This window comes from Homo sapiens, chromosome 9 (genome assembly GCF_000001405.40).
Source record: "Homo sapiens chromosome 9, GRCh38.p14 Primary Assembly".
Lineage (NCBI taxonomy): Eukaryota > Metazoa > Chordata > Mammalia > Primates > Hominidae > Homo > Homo sapiens.
Genome location: NC_000009.12, coordinates 101101551 through 101120805, shown reverse-complemented (window position 1 = coordinate 101120805; position 19255 = coordinate 101101551). Strand labels below are relative to the sequence as shown.

Genomic DNA, 19255 nt, shown 5'->3' with positions numbered 1-19255 from the left:
TAGGAAGGCCCTCATAGGGCCATATTCTCTTCCAGAATACAGAGATTCTTAAGCCATTTGGGATGTGTGGCTGAGTAACTGGTCCTCAAACCCTTTCTTTGGTGATGACCCCACACTTACATCTGTTGAAGGAGGGGAGCATATGGTGGTGTAATCATCTCCATTGTTTAGCTGAAGAAATGGAAATATCTTAAGATAAAAGAAGGAGATGGCACTTATCTTATAGACACATACCCACCCATTTATTCAACTGCACCTGTTGCTAACCAACTATGAACAGAAAGGCAAGGATAAGTCATTGAAAAAGATGCCTCACAAGGAAGTGAGGCTCTAGCCAATAAGGATATTTATGATGCTTCCTTAAGGTGTAATAAATATAGATGATACAAGGATAAAGACATTGATAAGATACAATTGGCCAGTGACCTTGAACAAAAATGTGGACATCCAAATGTTATCTTTCCTTGAAATAAGTTGCAAAGCCTAATGCCAGTAATATCAGCAAATCTAGCCATCAAGGCTAACAATAGGAACTCACAACAACGGATTCCATTGGCTAGAGTGAAGGTGCTAACAGGAGTAAAAATAAAATGGAAAATAAATTGTGAGAGATTTCTGTCTCTTTCTCATATGTGGCAGATGATTATTTTTATTATTACATGTGCAAATATATTTTGGCTGGAACATCACTTTAGGTGTCAAGATGTGTGACTTAATCAGCCACAGAAAGAATCCCAAGACCTGTTTTAGCCAGTAAGCAAAGCCAATAAAACAGAGGCTAAAAGTAGAAACACCTGCTAACTTCTAATTATGGCAGTAAAGTGAGGTTAGATTGGCCACTAGTGAGGCTGTTGAGTAGCCACTGATAACCTGAGTTTTCACCTATGTATGGCACTAGCCTCCACAGTTGAGTATGAAACCACAGATGAGACAGAAATGGGTGGTTTGGGTGGGGAGGGAAGTGAAGAAGGATGGGGAGGAGATTATTATTCCAGAGCCCAGAGCCACTGCATTCTCTAAGCTAGATAGAGGGGCAAAAAGGCCAATTGAGGTTATCTTCGAGGTCCTCTGGAAGGCATCTCATCCAGCTCTGGCCTCTGGTGATCTGCAGAAGGCAGAAGTATTATTGTTATGGTGTTAGGCTGGTCCTTACTCCACATGCTGAGTTTCTAGTTTCCCATTGATATTCCCTAATCTACTTCAGGGTTTTCAAGGTGCCAGCTCCTCAATATCTCTACAGCCTGATCTTTCTCCGAAGAATCTATTGGTTCTTCTTGATTGCTGATAGGCATTTTCCTGTCAATCCTGCACTCTCACATGCAGATACCTGTCCTGATAGTTCCATCACCTCCAGAGGGACACTGGACCATGCTCTGCAGCCCTCTGCTGCCCTCCACTGGCCATATCTGATGGCCAGGGTTTGCTCTGAGCTCCCCAGGCAGCACGGTGTGAAATGGCTTACTCTTGAAGCATCTCCCAGGAGACCAGTGGGCTGCCACATTGCCAAAGCAGCTTACCACCCTGGAACACAAGGATACCATAACACAAGGGAAAGCACTACTCTGAAGGCCCTGTCCACAAATTACTCTTCAAAGAAGAGGTATCCGCCTTTCATGTACTAAACATATGTTGACCTCTGTGGACAAGAACATGGTAAGGCTGGGGAGAAAAGAGATGAAAAAGAAATAGAAAAATACTCTCAGAAAGCTCCTGGTGCTGCATGTCCAATTTGGCTGGCCCATTCCCAGGGGCTTGATTTTAGTATTGGAGAGAAGCAACTTACTCTCTGAGCCCCAAGCCCAAGTCCTTCAGGAGCTTCTAGAAACGAACTTCTCATGTTTCATGGATGTCATCCAAATTTGAATTTTACCTGCCATGTCTTTGTCTTAAAAAACAAACAAGCAAAACAAAAAAAAACATGGCATCAAAGTCAAAGACATAGGGTCTGCCTTCAAGAAATTTCACAGTTGGAAGGAGAAAGATAGTCATAGAAAAAAAATAAAAAATAAGTCACGATGTGGCAAGAGCCAAGCTGTGTGGGAATGAGAAGCAAAGACAATTAATTAGGACTGTGGGGATAAGGTGAAGCATTTAAGGGTTGTCTTTGTAAAACAGAAATCTGATCAACATTGTCTACAGGCTCAAATAGAAACCCCTTAGCATGATCTAAAGTAGGCTCCATAATATTTCCCCTACCTTCCTTAACTGCTGCTCTCATCATTCTCCAATATCTGCTGGTCCAACTGAAATTCATCTTTATCTCAACCAATGTGCAACCCCAGAACCCATGGAGAGAGAAAGAGAGAGAGAGAGAGTTCCAGATATCCCTTCCCAGTGCAGATATCAGTCTCAGATCTTCTGTGCTTCACTTCCTCCTCAATTTCTCGTCACCTCTTGTTTGATTTATTCAGCTCTCTCTTTTAGACCTTTATCTGGAAAGACAATTTTGATCTGTAAGGTCTGAAGCCAGACACATTCTCTCCCTTGGATATTTATGTGCTTTCTCTTTGGCTGTCTCAGCTCAGCCCCACTAAACCCAGATACTCAGAACCCAACCAGGCAACACCTATGTCCCATCTGTGAAGTGGCACCTGAGATCCTGAAACATTATTGCCCACAGCAGGTCATAGCCTCTGTTTATCAGCTTCCTCCCCATCTCTGTCCTAGGATGTTAGTCATAAATCAAAGCTATAGCAGCTGCACTGTATCTTAGGTAATTTCTCTGAATATTTTATTTTATCTTCTTTCACCCATTGGCTACCATCTGAATTGTTCCTTTATGCTTTTTACTTGAAAATACTGCTAAACTTACACATTCTGTCTCTACTGACAGTGTCCAACAAAGCAGCCCTTGGACAGGGTTAACCCCAATATCCCAGAGTACCACTTAATTTGAAAAGAGGGAGTCAGACAAAACTATGGTGATTATGAGAATACTGGTAGGATCAAGGAATGTTTATTGAGTGCTCAGATGTGCCAGGTTCTGTGCTAGGTGCAGGTTGTCATTTGATCTTCACAATTGCCTTTTGAAAGAGGTAGTATCTCCATTTAAAGAGAAGGACACTAAGACTTTGGAAATTAAACTATTTGCCTAAGGTTTTCTTTCACATGTGTGATTTCAGAGCCTGTACTTTTTTTTTTTTTTTTAAGTGAAAGCAAGTTTATTAAGAAAGTAAAGGGATAAAAGAATGGCTATTTCATAGGCAGAGCAGCAGCATGGGCTGCTGGCTGCCCATTTTTATGGTTATTTCTTTATTATATGCTAAACAAGGAGTGAGTTATTCATGAGTTTTCCAGGAAAAGGGTGAACAATTTCTGGAAGTGAAGCTTCCTCCCCTTTTTAGATCATATAGGGTAACTTCCTGACATTGCCATGCCATTTATAAACTGTCATAGTGCTGGTGGGAATGTCTTTTAGCATGCTAATACATTATAATTAGTGTATAATGAGAAGTGAGGACAACTAGAGGTCACTCTTGTCATCATCTTGGTTTCGGTGGGTTTTGGCTGGCTTCTCCACTGCAGTCTGCTTTATCAGCATGGTCTTTATGACTTGTATTTAGTGCTGACCTCCTATCTCATCCTGTGACTAAGAATGCTCTAACCTCCTGGGAATGCAGCCTAGTAGGTCTCAGCCTCATTTTACCCAGCCTCTATACATGATAAAGTCACTCTGGTTTAAAAGCCTCTGACATTTTCCCCCTTCCTTTTATAAGAGAACCCTTAATCCTAAGGGTTGCAGAGGGATGAAGATCCATCTTCTGTAACTTCTTCAGGCTGAATAGGAACGATGATATGATATCCCTGCCTAACTATGAAGGTCTTTTATATTCAGGGTAGAGAGAAGCCTGGTCAGAAAGCATCAGTATGTTGAGGGCCACTCATAAATCTTGAGTTTCAACAAAAGGTGATATTTGGAAGATTAATAAGTGCTCAATTTAGGAAAACATTCAATAAGCTTATCTTGCATTTCTTTTTTTACTTTTTTTTTTTTTTTTGAGATGGAGTCCTACTCTGTCACCAGGCTGGAGTGCAGTGGTGCAATCTTGGCTCACTGCAACCTCCACCTCCCAGCTTCAAGCGAACCTTGTCTCAGCCTCCTGAGTAGTTGGGACTAGAGGCACGCACCACCACACCCAGCTTTTTTGTATTTTTAGTAGAGATGGGGTTTCACCATCTTGGCCAGGATGGTCTTGATCTCTTGACCTTGTGATCCGCCCGCCTTGGCCTCCCAAAGTCCTGGGATTACAGGCGTGAGCCACTGCGCCAAGCCGTTATCCTGCATTTCTACACAAAGAGTACAACAGCAATATATCCCACAACAGTTAAGCAAAATTATCCCAAGTAAACTAAATAAGAAGGCTTTCCATGAACTGGGCAACTGATGGAACCAAGCTGATATGGGACCGCTACCTGATTCCAATATGTGGACAAAATTAGAATATTGATTCAGACTTTTACATTACCCATTCCTTTTGTTTCTTCTGAGCAGCAGCCAGAGATCACTGGTGGTTTCACATGAATAAGCAGAGTTAGTCTAAATTCAGAAAAAAACTTAAAAAACAACTCATGAGACTAGAATCTAATAACAGACATACTATAGTTCCCAAAACATAATTATTCTCTCAGAGCCTGTACTCTTAACCGCATGTTTTTTCCTGGTTGCCTGCCTCTCAGACAGTCAGTACTCTATAGCTATTTATTGGATTTTCTAGATGAAACTGACATTTGGCCACAGAACCGCATTTGGATTTGTATTAATTCCTAGAGAATCTTGAAAGTTTTGTGCTTCTACAGAATGTTCTTCTCATTCTCTGAAAAACTGGAAGGTCTTGAGTAGAGTCCAAAATCTGCTGTTAAGTAGTGAGAGTTATTTGGAACTTAGCATAAAGTGGTCATCTTTAATGGAGTAAATTACTATTATTGTTGCTGTTATTATCTCTTTTAGTTGAATCTGAGGGAATTCTATGAGAATAAGGAAAGCAAGAAATCCCTTTCATTAAAATGGGATGCAGCTAAGTGTAGTTGAATCTGAGGGAATTCTCTGAGTATAAAGAAAGCAAGAAATCCCTTTCATTAAAATGGGATGCAGCTAAGTGTACATTCAAGTAATATGATAAAGGCATAATACACACATGCCATATGGTATATATGCTCATTTCACTGTCAGGTTTTAAGTAACGGTTGCTAAAAAGGCTATTATGCAATATGGTTTTTTATGTCTCTTACATCAATGATTTTCTTTTAAGCTCAATTCTTTGTCCTCTCTTATATTCCCTAAGGGAAGAAAAGACACATCTTTCAATCTCAACTGGCAATTTGTACTTTTAAAAGTAAAATCCCAAAAGTATGATAAGACTACATCTGTTGTGTTCATCACTATAACCCCAATGTTTGCCCATTTAGGCACCCAATAAATACTTGCATATTGAAATCAGTCATCACTCTCACAACTATCACAATCGCCCTCACAGGCTAAATTTATGCAGGTTGCTGATGCTTTGTGTGAATCAGCCTGGGAGCACGGATACATGTAAATGCTTAGGCTGCCTCTTTTCCCGTGCATTCCTGAAGCTCCATTTGGAAAGAAGAAAGCCATCTTCCAGAAGTGAGTGGGGCACTTCGTTTCACTAGGGTTTTGGAGTGGAAATGGATTGAGGTGTCATAAATGAATGTACTTTCTGTACTGTGGAGATGGGACAGAATGTGAGAAGGCAGCAAAATCAAATGCAGTCTGGCCCCAGAGTGTCATGCTGAAGTTACCTGGAGAGTCATCTCCAGCAACTGCAGGGCTCACACTATGCTGAGAAACATAATTAGCTACAAGAGATAACAAAATAAAAAGGAGACCTCTCCACCACCTCTCAAAGGTACTGAATAAGTTCATCTAAACCAGACCATTAACAAATTGTCCTAAGCTCTCCCCTTTATAGAGATGCATGTCTACCAGCATCCACCTACTGTGCTTTTAAGGAGTGCTGGAGAAACAGTAACCCCTCGCTGACCATTCAGGTCTTCATTAAATTGGGACCAGCTCTACCTAAGCACTTTGCACTTAGAGAGGCAGATATGTAATTGTTAAGAGCATCTGTCCCAGAACCAGATAAAGTTCAAATCCCTTTTCCACTGTTGCTTACCCCAAGATCTACCTTAATTACACTGTGCTGTGTCCTGAGGCGTTGGCCTGTGCGAGTCACATCAGCTGGCTTCCTTACCTTCCTGCCTCCCAGTGGGGAGCAATGGCAGGAGACAGGAAGAAAGGAGAGTGAGGTCTGATACTCCTACCTCTCTCCCTGCAGAGTGACCTTGGGCCAGCTACATTCCTTATCTAAAGATCTCAGTCTTTTGTAGATGACCCTATCCACACAGCCATATCTATTTCCTGGATCTTCAGGTTTAAGGTCTCCTTAAATCAGACAAATACAAGTGTGCTATCTGTCCCCTGTTGGGATCCTGCCTGATACACCATTTACTAGGATGTGATTTTGGTGAGTTACTTAACCTGTCTGGGTCTTAGGCTGCTCATTTATGTTGGGGATGATAGTAGTACCCTGGTCACAAGGGTGTTGTGAGGATGAAATGATACATTAAAGCAGTTAGAACAGTGTTCAATGAAATATTAACTACTGTTATTACAGAAGCTCAGTTTGAGAAGATTCCTCTTTTTTTAGCCTCAGATTGGCCTCATTCATTCTCTCATTCCTATTCTTTCTCTCTGACTTCATTTGAAAGGAAAACGCCTACACTTTTTTTAATGCTTCAGACCATCTGAACTGTCCCTATTTTCTGCCTGTCACTGTCTTTCCCTCCTTCCTTATCTGTGCTTCCTCATATCATCTCCTAAGAAGTCCCCTTCCAGGTTCCAGGCCTTCTTCTCTGCCTGCAGACCCTGCAGCTAACCTTTCCAAGTTTGCCTTCATTTATTGCTGGGCAGAGACTTCTGCACAATTCTGCAACATAACCAAAAGAACCACAGAGCTTCATGTTTCTGCAGAAATATGCAAATTGCTTTTTTAAAAGTTTTCTTGTGAAAAAAAAAGGTATGTCTATCAACAATGCAGGAGTTTGGTTGGTTTTCTGTTTTTGTTGTTGTTTGGTTTTTTGCATGTGAAAAAGCTTCAGTGGCAAAATAGACTGTTTTTTGGTTTTTTTGTTTTTTGTTTTTTGTTTTTTTGTTTTTTCTGTTCTTTCTTAACACTTACATTTTCCCCCAAGCATATTCAATACTAGACTATTTAAGAAGTTGTAAAAATTCCTATTAGGAATGTAATTGTAGTGCCCTGGGTACATTTGAATTTTGGTTTGCAAAGATCTTGGGAAGATAAATTTTCTGGTTCATCTTATAAGAGATCTATTTCCTGCAGAAAAATTAAAAACATAAATAATAGTTATATATCCCTTACTCATATCACTTTCTTGTTGCTTCTCTAAACAGCACACAGTATTTACATAGTATAAAGGCATAAATGTACAAAAACACTGACCTAATGCCTTAGTGTTTTGTTTCGTTTAGTTTTGGTTCAAGTAAATCAGAACCAGTATTTAGTTTTCACACTGGAGGCTACTAAAACATCCTCCAGGGTTAAAAAAAAAAAAAAAGGATTAATATGCTTAAGAATTAAGCAAGAGAATAAAATTATTCTTATAACTTCCTCTCTCAACTCTGATTACCATTCTATGACCTCCTGAACTTGAATGTCTATGTCTAAAAGAATAACACAGCCACGGTTGAGGGTCCAGGTATATACAACTGTGAATAGATAATTAGAAGCATCTTTCACGATTTTTCAGTTCCCAAAATGAGAAGTAAAAAACTAGAAGAAAGAATCCATCTTTTAAGCTGCAAATCATGTTCACTGAAAATGAAAGAAAATATCTGAGGCAGACATCTGAATGGTCAGTGTCTGCCATGTGAATTGACAGGCTCTTGTTTCTGCTGGGTTTATTTTGACATAAATGATAAACAAACAAACAAGCAAGTGCTGCCACCTGGCATTTGACAATGTGAAGATGAAGTTTTAACACACCTGCTCAGATGTTTCACAGTTAGACAGCTGCCAGCACCACTTCCTATATCAATTTGGAGGAATGAAAGGTGCACTCTCAGCATTCCTCATTCCCACATTTCCCCAAAGTGTGAAGCACCATACGGAAACTGTCAAGCTCAGTTCTGCACTGCTTGGGGTAACTATGGAGTCATGTGGGGGTTCTGCATGTGGAGGGAAGGAATTACTGCATGCCAGGAGGAGACAATGATTAAATGCAGGAAGAGATAGCTTCTGTATTAAACCATCTGAAAGACTGCTAATGACACTGTTTGCATCTGAAGCTGTTAATCTTGGATATTTTTAGATGAGAACAATAGCCAAACTCCTAAAATCAAAAATTGTATCCTCTCAGAATATGAACCCAATACTAAATAGGTAAGGACAGCAATCTTATCTAAATGCTATTCATGAAAATAAACTTTTATTTCCTTCTGTACTCACTTTTTAATTCTATATGTGGAGTACCTGTTGCCTATTATGTAAATATAAATACATATATGTATGTGCTTCATAAAACAATATAGAAATGACAGAATCTGAAAGTTGTCTTCACCACCATGAATAATTTTTGACACAAAAGTTTCTAAGTGACAAACTAGGTGTTAAGCTAATACGCAGGTAAGATGTTTAAATAACATTGTAAAACTGCATTGTCTTTAAATATGATTCTCAGTTGACATGTATGCCTGCTGATAAAGTGTGTATATGGGGACAGGGAAATTCCAAATGATCCTCTGAACTTCAATTTGTTTAAATAAAGCACATTATGTGGTTGGGAAGGGAGGAGGTGAGGCTGAAGCAACGCTGTATCTATTTAAAAACATTGGTATTTGAGCGAATACATTTTATTCAGTTCTACTACAAAGACTTTCTAATATTTATATGCCTTTCTAAATGTCTCATTATCCATGGTAGGTTGGGTGGACAGATACCTTAAAACGATATGATTCAATTGGGTCAAGCAGAGAGAAATGCAAGCATTTGCACTGCTGTGGGGTCAGAGAGACTCAGAAAATAATAATATGCAGTTTTTACAACTGTGCTATTAGGTTTCACTACCTGGTATTTGAAATTTTCACAAAGTAACTGACAGTGCTTCATAGTTTGTCTATCTTAGCAAAATAAATAAATCTATTTATAAAATGCCAGACTAGCACTAACAGAATATTGACAAATCATACCAAATTGCATTGATAATTTAATGTTATTTAGGCATGCAAATATAGGTATAACAGGAAAATACTATCCCCCAAATATTTCACCATACAATCTCCAAAATATTTTTATTAAAGGAATTGACTGCTAAATAGAAAAGGTCTTATGAATGCATCAGTTACATATAAATTCTATTGCATAAGCAAAGCATTATTAGCATTACTGAACTATGAAATAGAATTGGGCTACAATAATATAGAATCAGATATTCTAATAATATCAAGAGAAGATTGATTTACCCTTAGCAGGAATATCTTCCTAGCTTTTATTTGTTATTTTCTGAAAACGACTTGAATTGCTTATTTTCTTTTTAATAGCAATAACACTTGTTCTTTAGAGAGTACTTAGGAAACATAGATTTAAAAATAAAAAGAAGAATATAAAAATCACCCATTACCCCACCGCTAGTCATGTTTTGGTATATATCATTTTAGATATTTAGTTACACTGTCCATACTTTTCCAAGGGTCATCATCTAATATATGATTAATATTCCTTTATGACATTATTTTTAATAACAAACTATAATTCCATTAACCCATCTTCTGTGGTTGATCACTTATATTGCTCCCAATTCTTCACGATTATTAGCAAGGCAAAAAGAACATCTTATGGGACCATGGCTTTGCACACATACCTAGTTATTCCCATAAGATTAATTCCAAAATATCATATTGCTGGATCAAAAGGTATACATCTTAAGGCTCTTTATAAACTATTACTAATTATAGAAGTAACACATGAACATCATTTCTCAAAAAGCAAACACCTATATTTTTTCTTCCTCCATGCCACCCTGCACTTTAGATGTAACCACTGTTAGCAACTTCTTATTCGTCCAGAAATTACAAAAATTGAAGCATGCTAAATCTTAGCAATACCCCTTGGAGAGTATTCACTATCAGGACATTATATCTCTACCTCAATCCTTTTGATAATTTTACTAGATTTAGTGGCCTGGATATATCATGGCTCATAAAAACAGTCCACAATTGATAGACAGTAGGTTTCATTCAATTTTTGCTATTAAAAACAATGATATAACATTCTTCTACGTGTATTTTGCAAATTTGTGTAAATGTTTCAGAATAAAAGGAATTTGCTAGGTAAATGGATAGATGCCTTTTAATTTTGCTAGATGTCTCCATATTGCCATCTAAATAGTTGTGTTTATTTACATTTTTATTATCCTCAGCAACACTGAGTATTATGCAACATTTTAATCCTTGTCACTCTGCAAGCTAAGAAACTGTATTATTTTTGTTGTTATTGTCATTTGTATGTTTTAAATTATAAGTGAGATCTATCACTCAATCTGAAACTCAAATTCAAAAATCCTGTTGAATCATCATATGAATTCTGAAGCCTGGTGAAATTCTTGTTCCTGCTATTCTTCAGCTAATTTGTTAGCTAAAAACTTGTTTTGTAATTTATATTATTCACTTTACATACATATTATATTGCTTTTGAAGATGATAATTTAAAACAATAACAAGAGCTGTTTTCTTTTAGTACTGTTGAAAATGACTAACTGTTTACATGTCTGGGATACTTTGCTGGGAAATTATTGAACAGAAGCATCCCCACCTTTCCTAAAGCAGAGTCACTCAGCACCACACAATGGCCATTTGTATATGCCAAGAATTCAAAGTAACTTTGAAAGTGACATGTCACAAACAATCTGCCCAGTGGCAGATATTATATATGGCTAGTTGATTATGAGGAAAATTTATTAAAATATAAGGTCGTACTCAAATACTCCAAACTGTATTGAAAAAGAAAAAAGGAATATACCCAAGAATACTAACAGCGATTATCCTGGGATAATAGGATTACAGATTACTAAATTATAAGATCTTGCCATGGGAATGCTAAAAAAATCAACATTAAGTGCTTTGTGCATGAACCTACTATGTATACCTTTTGAAAAACATACTAGAAGAAATTTTGAAATTTACGGGAATAATAATTCACTCAGTGAGTACATTTTGAATACTTCCTGTGTAGCTATGATTGTGCTATAAGCCAGAAGTATATGGCATAGCACTGGCTTTATAAGAGCTCACAATCTTAGATATACGAAACATGATGAGCAATGTCAAAAGAGAGAAGATGATAAAATGCTTATTTAAATGCATCAACTACGCCCTTGGGGAAATCTAAGTTTCAGTTTTCTATTGAAATGATGGTGTTTAATTACAGTAGATCAGAGGTTCCCAAACTATTTGATTTCAGGACCCCTTTATACCCTTCAAAAATACTGAGGACCAGTCGGGCGCGGTGGCTCACACCTGTAATCCCAGCACTTTGGGAGGCCGAGGCCGGCGGATCGTGACGTCAGGAGATAGAGACCATCCTGGCTACGGTGAAACCCCAACTCTACTAAAAAAAAAAAAAAAAAAAAAAAATACAAAAAATTAGCCAGGCGTGGTGGCGGGCGCCTGTAGTCCCAGCTACTTGGGAGGCTGAGGCAGGAGAATGGCGTCAATCCGGAAGGCGGAGCTTGCAGTGAGCCGAGATCGCGCCACTGCACTCCAGCCTGGGTGACAGAGGGAGACTCCATCTCAAAAAAAAAAAAAAAATTATTGAAGACAAAAAAGAGCTTTTGCTTATGTGGGTTATATCAGTCTTTACTATATTGGTAAATAATATTGATAAACTGAAAAAATATTTATTAATTCAGGAATAACACTAATAAACCCATTGCATATTAACATAAAAACACATTTTATAAAAAATAGCTCTTGGAAATGAAAAGAATTCTGAAACTTCCAAAGCAGACAAAAGATGTAGCTTAATTGTTTGGAGTTAATTTATGGCATGAAGTGGGATTTACCAGAAATAAAGAAACAAAGGAAGAATAAGGATAAAAGGAACTGAATTACAATGCTATTGGTTTTTATTTTCTCTAAACAGAAATCCATTTTGCTGTCTTAAGGTGACCAAATTTCTTGTATGCCTGGACAGTTCTTGTCTATGCCTGTTGTTCTGGCATGACTACTTAGTTACAAACAGTGCCTGTCTTCACAAAGAGTCTCAAAGTGGACAATAAATTATCTTATCATACTACTTATCCAAAACATTGCATAATCATTTCTTTATGCATCACCTATGCATGTTTTTATTTCATTCAACAAACATCTATTGAGCACCTACTGGGTACCAGATTCTATGCTATCAGTCAGGAATACGAAGTAGAATAAGCCTTGCAAGATGCTTACTATCTGACAACTCCTGGTCCATAGACAGATCAATTGATTTTTATCATGCATTACCTGATTCAAGTCTCTTTTAACAAACATGATTATTATTATTATTATTTCCAAAAACATGGAATTACAATAGTAGAAGATAAAAGTTGTTCCTGAGGGGAGGAGCCAAGATGGCCGAATAGGAACAGCTCCGGTCTACAGCTCCCAGCGTGAGCGACGCAGAAGACGGGTGATTTCTGCATTTCCATCTGAGGTACCGGGTTCATCTCACTAGGGAGTGCCAGACAGTGGGCGCAGGCCAGTGTGTGCGCGCACCGTGCGCGAGCCGAAGCAGGGCGAGGCATTGCCTCACCTGGGAAGCGCAAGGGGTCAGGGAGTTCCCTTTCCGAGTCAAAGAAAGGGGTGACGAACGCACCTGGAAAATCGGGTCACTCCCACCCGAATATTGTGCTTTTCAGACCGGCTTAAAAAACGGCGCACCACGAGACTATATCCCACACCTGGCTGAGAGGGTCCTACGCCCACGGAATCTCGCTGATTGCTAGCACAGCAGTCTGAGATTAAACTGCAAGGCGGCAACGAGGCTGGGGGAGGGGCGCCCGCCATTGCCCAGGCTTGCTTAGGTAAACAAAGCAGCCGGGAAGCTCGAACTGGGTGGAGCCCACCACAGCTCAAGGAGGCCTGCCTGCCTCTGTAGGCTCCACCTCTAGGGGCAGGGCACAGACAAACAAAAAGACAGCAGTAACCTCTGCAGACTTAAGTGTCCCTGTCTGACAGCTTTGAAGAGAGCAGTGGTTCTCCCAGCACGCAGCTGGAGATCTGAGAACGGGCAGACTGCCTCCTCAAGTGGGTCCCTGACCCCTGACCCCCGAGCAGCCTAACTGGGAGGCACCCCCCAGCAGGGGCACACTGACACCTCACACGGCAGGGTATTCCAACAGACCTGCAGCTGAGGGTCCTGTCTGTTAGAAGGAAAACTAACAACCAGAAAGGACATCTACACCGAAAACCCATCTGTACATCACCATCATCAAAGACCAAAAGTAGATAAAACCACAAAGATGGGGAAAAAACAGAACAGAAAAACTGGAAACTCTAAAATGCAGAGCGCCTCTCCTCCTCCAAAGGAACGCAGTTCCTCACCAGCAACGGAACAAAGCTGGATGGAGAATGATTTTGAGGAGCTGAGAGAAGAAGGCTTCAGACGATCAAATTACTCTGAGCTACGGGAGGACATTCAAACCAAAGGCAAAGAAGTTGAAAACTTTGAAAAAAATTTAGAAGAATGTATAACTAGAATAACCAATACAGAGAAGTGCTTAAAGGAGCTGATGGAGCTGAAAGCCAAGGCTCGAGAACTACGTGAAGAATGCAGAAGCCTCAGGAGCCGATGCGATCAACTGGAAGAAAGGGTATCAGCGATGGAAGATGAAATGAATGAAATGAAGCGAGAAGGGAAGTTTAGAGAAAAAAGAATAAAAAGAAATGAGCAAAGCCTCCAAGAAATATGGGACTATGTGAAAAGACCAAATCTACGTCTGATTGGTGTACCTGAAAGTGATGTGGAGAATGGAACCAAGTTGGAAAACACTCTGCAGGATATTATCCAGGAGAACTTCCCCAATCTAGCAAGGCAGGCCAACGTTCAGATTCAGGAAATACAGAGAACGCCACAAAGATACTCCTCGAGAAGAGCAACTCCCAGACACATAATTGTCAGATTCACCAAAGTTGAAATGAAGGAAAAAATGTTAAGGGCAGCCAGAGAGAAAGGTCGGGTTACCCTCAAAGGAAAGCCCATCAGACTAACAGCGGATCTCTCGGCAGAAACCATACAAGCCAGAAGAGAGTGGGGGCCAATATTCAACATTCTTAAAGGAAAGAATTTTCAACCCAGAATTTCATATCCAGCCAAACAAAGCTTCATAAGTGAAGGAGAAATAAAATACTTTATAGACAAGCAAATGCTGAGAGATTTTGTCACCACCAGGCCTGCCCTAAAAGAGCTCCTGAAGGAAGCGCTAAACATGGAAAGGAACAACCGGTACCAGCCGCTGCAAAATCATGCCAAAATGTAAAGACCATCGAGACTAGGAAGAAACTGCATCAACTAACGAGCAAAAGCACCAGCTAACATCATAATGACAGGATCAAATTCACACATAACAATATTAACTTTAAATGTAAATGGACTAAATTCTGCAATTAAAAGACACAGACTGGCAAGTTGGATAAAGAGTCAAGACCATCAGTGTGCTGTATTCAGGAAACCCATCTCACATGCAGAGACACACATAGGCTCAAAATAAAAGGATGGAGGAAGATCTACCAAGCCAATGGAAAACAAAAAAAGGCAGGGGTTGCAATCCTAGTCTCTGATAAAACGGACTTTAAACCAACAAAGATCAAAAGAGACAAAGAAGGCCATTACATAATGGTAAAGGGATCAATTCAACAAGAGGAGCTAACTATCCTAAATATTTATGCACCGAATACAGGAGCACCCAGATTCATAAAGCAAGTCCTGAGTGACCTACAAAGAGACTTAGACTCCCACACATTAATAATGGGAGACTTTAACACCCCACTGTCAACATTAGACAGATCAACGAGACAGAAAGTCAACAAGGATACCCAGGAATTGAACTCAGCTCTGCACCAAGCGGACCTAATAGACATCTACAGAACTCTCCACCCCAAATCAACAGAATATACATTTTTTTCAACACCACACCACACCTATTCCAAAATTGACCACATAGTTGGAAGTAAAGCTCTCCTCAGCAAATGTAAAAGAACAGAAATTATAACAAACTATCTCTCAGACCACAGTGCAATCAAACTAGAACTCAGGATTAAGAATCTCACTCAAAGCCGCTCAACTACATGGAAACTGAACAACCTGCTCCTGAATGACTACTGGGTACATAACGAAATGAAGGCAGAAATAAAGATGTTCTTTGAAACCAACGAGAACAAAGACACCACATACCAGAATCTCTGGGACGCATTCAAAGCAGTGTGTAGAGGGAAATTTATAGCACTAAATGCCCACAAGAGAAAGCAGGAAAGATCCAAAATTGACACCCTAACATCACAATTAAAAGAACTAGAAAAGCAAGAGCAAACACATTCAAAAGCTAGCAGAAGGCAAGAAATAACTAAAATCAGAGCAGAACTGAAGGAAATAGAGACACAAAAAACCCTTCAAAAAATCAATGAATCCAGGAGCTGGTTTTTTGAAAGGATCAACAAAATTGATAGACCGCTAGCAAGACTAATAAAGAAAAAAAGAGAGAAGAATCAAATAGACACAATAAAAAATGATAAAGGGGATATCACCACCAATCCCACAGAAATACAAACTACCATCAGAGAATACTACAAACACCTCTACGCAAATAAACTAGAAAATCTAGAAGAAATGGATACATTCCTCGACACATACACTCTCCCAAGACTAAACCAGGAAGAAGTTGAATCTCTGAATAGACCAATAACAGGATCTGAAATTGTGGCAATAATCAATAGTTTACCAACCAAAAAGAGTCCAGGACCAGATGGATTCACAGCTGAATTCTACCAGAGGTACAAGGAGGAGCTGGTACCATTCCTTCTGAAACTATTCCAATCAATAGAAAAAGAAGGAATCCTCCCTAACTCATTTTATGAGGCCAGCATCATTCTGATACCAAAGCCGGGCAGAGACACAACCAAAAAAGAGAATTTTAGACCAATATCCTTGATGAACATTGATGCAAAAATCCTCAATAAAATACTGGCAAATCAAATCCAGCAGCACATCAAAAAGCTTATCCACCATGATCAAGTGGGCTTCATCCCTGGGATGCAAGGCTGGTTCAATATATGCAAATCAATAAATGTAATCCAGCATATAAACAGAGCCAAAGACAAAAACCACATGATTATCTCAATAGATGCAGAAAAAGCCTTTGACAAAATTCAACAACCCTTCATGCTAAAAACTCTCAATAAATTAGGTATTGATGGGATGTATTTCAAAATAATAAGAGCTATCTATGACAAACCCACAGCCAATATCATACTGAATGGGCAAAAACTGGAAGCATTCCCTTTGAAAACTGGCACAAGACAGGGATGCCCTCTCTCACCGCTCCTATTCAACATAGTGTTGGAAGTTCTGGCCAGGGCAATCAGGCAGGAGAAGGAAATAAAGGGTATTCAATTAGGAAAAGAGGAAGTCAAATTGTCCCTGTTTGCAGATGACATGATTGTTTATCTAGAAAACCCCATCGTCTCAGCCCAAAATCTCCTTAAGCTGATAAGCAACTTCAGCAAAGTCTCAGGAGACAAAATCAATGTACAAAAATCACAAGCATTCTTATACACCAACAACAGACAAACAGAGAGCCAAATCATGAGTGAACTCCCATTCACAATTGCTTCAAAGAGAATAAAATACCTAGGAATCCAACTTACAAGGGATGTGAAGGACCTCTTCAAGGAGAACTACAAACCACTGCTCAAGGAAATAAAAGAGGACACAAACAAATGGAAGAACATTCCATGCTCATGGGTAGGAAGAATCAATATCGTGAAAATGGCCATACTGCCCAAGGTAATTTACAGATTCAATGCCATCCCCATCAAGCTACCAATGACTTTCTTCACAGAATTGGAAAAAACTACTTTAAAGTTCATATGGAACCAAAAAAGAGCCCGCATCGCCAAGTCAATCCTAAGCCAAAAGAACAAAGCTGGAGGCATCACACTACCTGACTTCAAACTATACTACAAGGCTACAGTAACCAAAACAGCATGGTACTGGTACCAAAACAGAGATATAGATCAATGGAACAGAACAGAGCCCTCAGAAATAATGCCGCATATCTACAACTATCTGATCTTTGACAAACCTGAGAAAAACAAGCAATGGGGAAAGGATTCCCTATTTAATAAATGGTGCTGGGAAAACTGGCTAGCCATATGTAGAAAGCTGAAACTGGATCCCTTCCTTACACCTTATACAAAAATCAATTCAAGATGGATTAAAGATTTAAACGTTAGACCTAAAACCATAAAAACCCTAGAAGAAAACCTAGGCATTACCATTCAGGACATAGGCGTAGGCAAGGACTTCATGTCCAAAACACCAAAAGCAATGGTAACAAAAGCCAAAATTGACAAATGGGATCTAATTAAACTAAAGAGCTTCTGCACAGCAAAAGAAACTACCATCAGAGTGAACAGGCAACCTACAACATGGGAGAAAATTTTCGCAACCTACTCATCTGACAAAGGGCTAATATCCAGAATCTACAATGAACTCAAACAAATTTACAAGAAAAAAACAAACAACCCCATCAAAAAGTGGGCGAAGGACATGAACAGACACTTCTCAAAAGAAGACATTTATGCAGCCAAAAAACACATGAAAAAATGCTCATCATCACTGGCCATCAGAGAAATGCAAATCAAAACCACTATGAGATATCATCTCACACCAGTTAGAATGGCAATCACTAAAAAGTCAGGAAACAACAGGTGCTGGAGAGGATGTGGAGAAATAGGAACACTTTTACACTGTTGGTGGGACTGTAAACTAGTTCAACCATTGTGGAAGTCAGTGTGGTGATTCCTCAGGGATCTAGAACTAGAAATACCATTTGACCCAGCCATCCCATTACTGGGTATATACCCAAATGACTATAAATCATGCTGCTATAAAGACACATGCACACGTATGTTTATTGCGGCATTATTCACAATAGCAAAGACTTGGAACCAACCCAAATGTCCAACAATGATAGACTGGATTAAGAAAATGTGGCACATATACACCATGGAATATTATGCAGCCATAAAAAATGATGAGTTCATGTCCTTTGTAGGGACATGGATGAAATTGGAAACCATCATTCTCAGTAAACTATCGCAAGAACAAAAAACCAAACACCGCATATTCTCACTCATAGGTGGGAATTGAACAATGAGATCACATGGACACAGGAAGGGGAATATCACACTCTGGGGACTGTGGTGGGGTCGGGGGATGGGGGAGGGATAGCATTGGGAGATATACCTAATGCTAGATGACGAGTTAGTGGGTGCAGCGCACCAGCATGTCACATGTATACATATGTAACTAACCTGCACAATGTGCACATGTACCCTAAAACTTAAAGTATAATAATAAAATAAAAAAAAAAAGAATAAAGCTATAATAGGAACCACAAAAAAAAAAAAAAAAAAAAAGTTGTTCCTACCTTCAAGGAGTTTACAAGCTTATAGTATAATGGGAAAGCAGACAATTACATAAAAATTACTAGAAACATGATAAGTGAAAAAGGTAGTAACTTATAAACAGCATGGAAGAGGTGATGGCAGAATTCTTTTTTGGGAGAATAGTACTGCACTTGTATTTGCAAGTACTCTTTAAAGGGCTTCTAGACTGGCTTTAAAGGAAAAAGTTTAAACAGAGGAGCTCATCTGCTTTGTGGTTTAGGGTTATCTGTATTGGGTTCATGGGTTTATTCTCTAAATATATTCAAGAAATACCACAGTTCTTGAGAATCAGCTTCTATAGAATGATGAAGAATGCAGAAAAAAAAGATTTGCCCTCAAGGAGCTAATAGTTTTGTTCAAGGGTTTGAACCATATGGTCCATTGATATCTAAAGGATCTTTACATTTGTTTATCGTTTCATTCATCCTTTTATTCCATTTATTCAAGTGGATGACCATATATTCCATAAAGTGTTTCATAAGAAATTTTGGAAAGCAATAATGTCTGATGCTG

The 19255-nt window shown here is 39.1% G+C and overlaps 1 protein-coding gene across 1 annotated transcript in view, besides 2 other annotated features; it reads right to left on the bottom strand.

Annotated features, from left to right (window-relative positions):
• Nucleotides 1-19255, bottom strand: part of PLPPR1 (phospholipid phosphatase related 1) — a 296409-nt gene that overhangs the window by 204330 nt on the left and 72824 nt on the right. The gene's annotated exons all lie outside the window — the stretch shown is intronic.
• Nucleotides 1245-1539: a silencer, noted in NCBI's record as "tiled region #7573; HepG2 Repressive non-DNase unmatched - State 12:CtcfO". NCBI's record gives its function as "represses a minimal TATA promoter and a strong SV40 promoter by Sharpr-MPRA in HepG2 cells {active_cell/tissue: HepG2}" and the evidence as "EXISTENCE:reporter gene assay evidence [ECO:0000049][PMID:27701403]".
• Nucleotides 5237-5738: an enhancer, noted in NCBI's record as "NANOG hESC enhancer chr9:103877350-103877851 (GRCh37/hg19 assembly coordinates)". NCBI's record gives its function as "activates a minimal SCP1, AML or CMV promoter by ChIP-STARR-seq in naive H9 embryonic stem cells {active_cell/tissue: H9 hESC(naive)}" and the evidence as "EXISTENCE:reporter gene assay evidence [ECO:0000049][PMID:30033119]".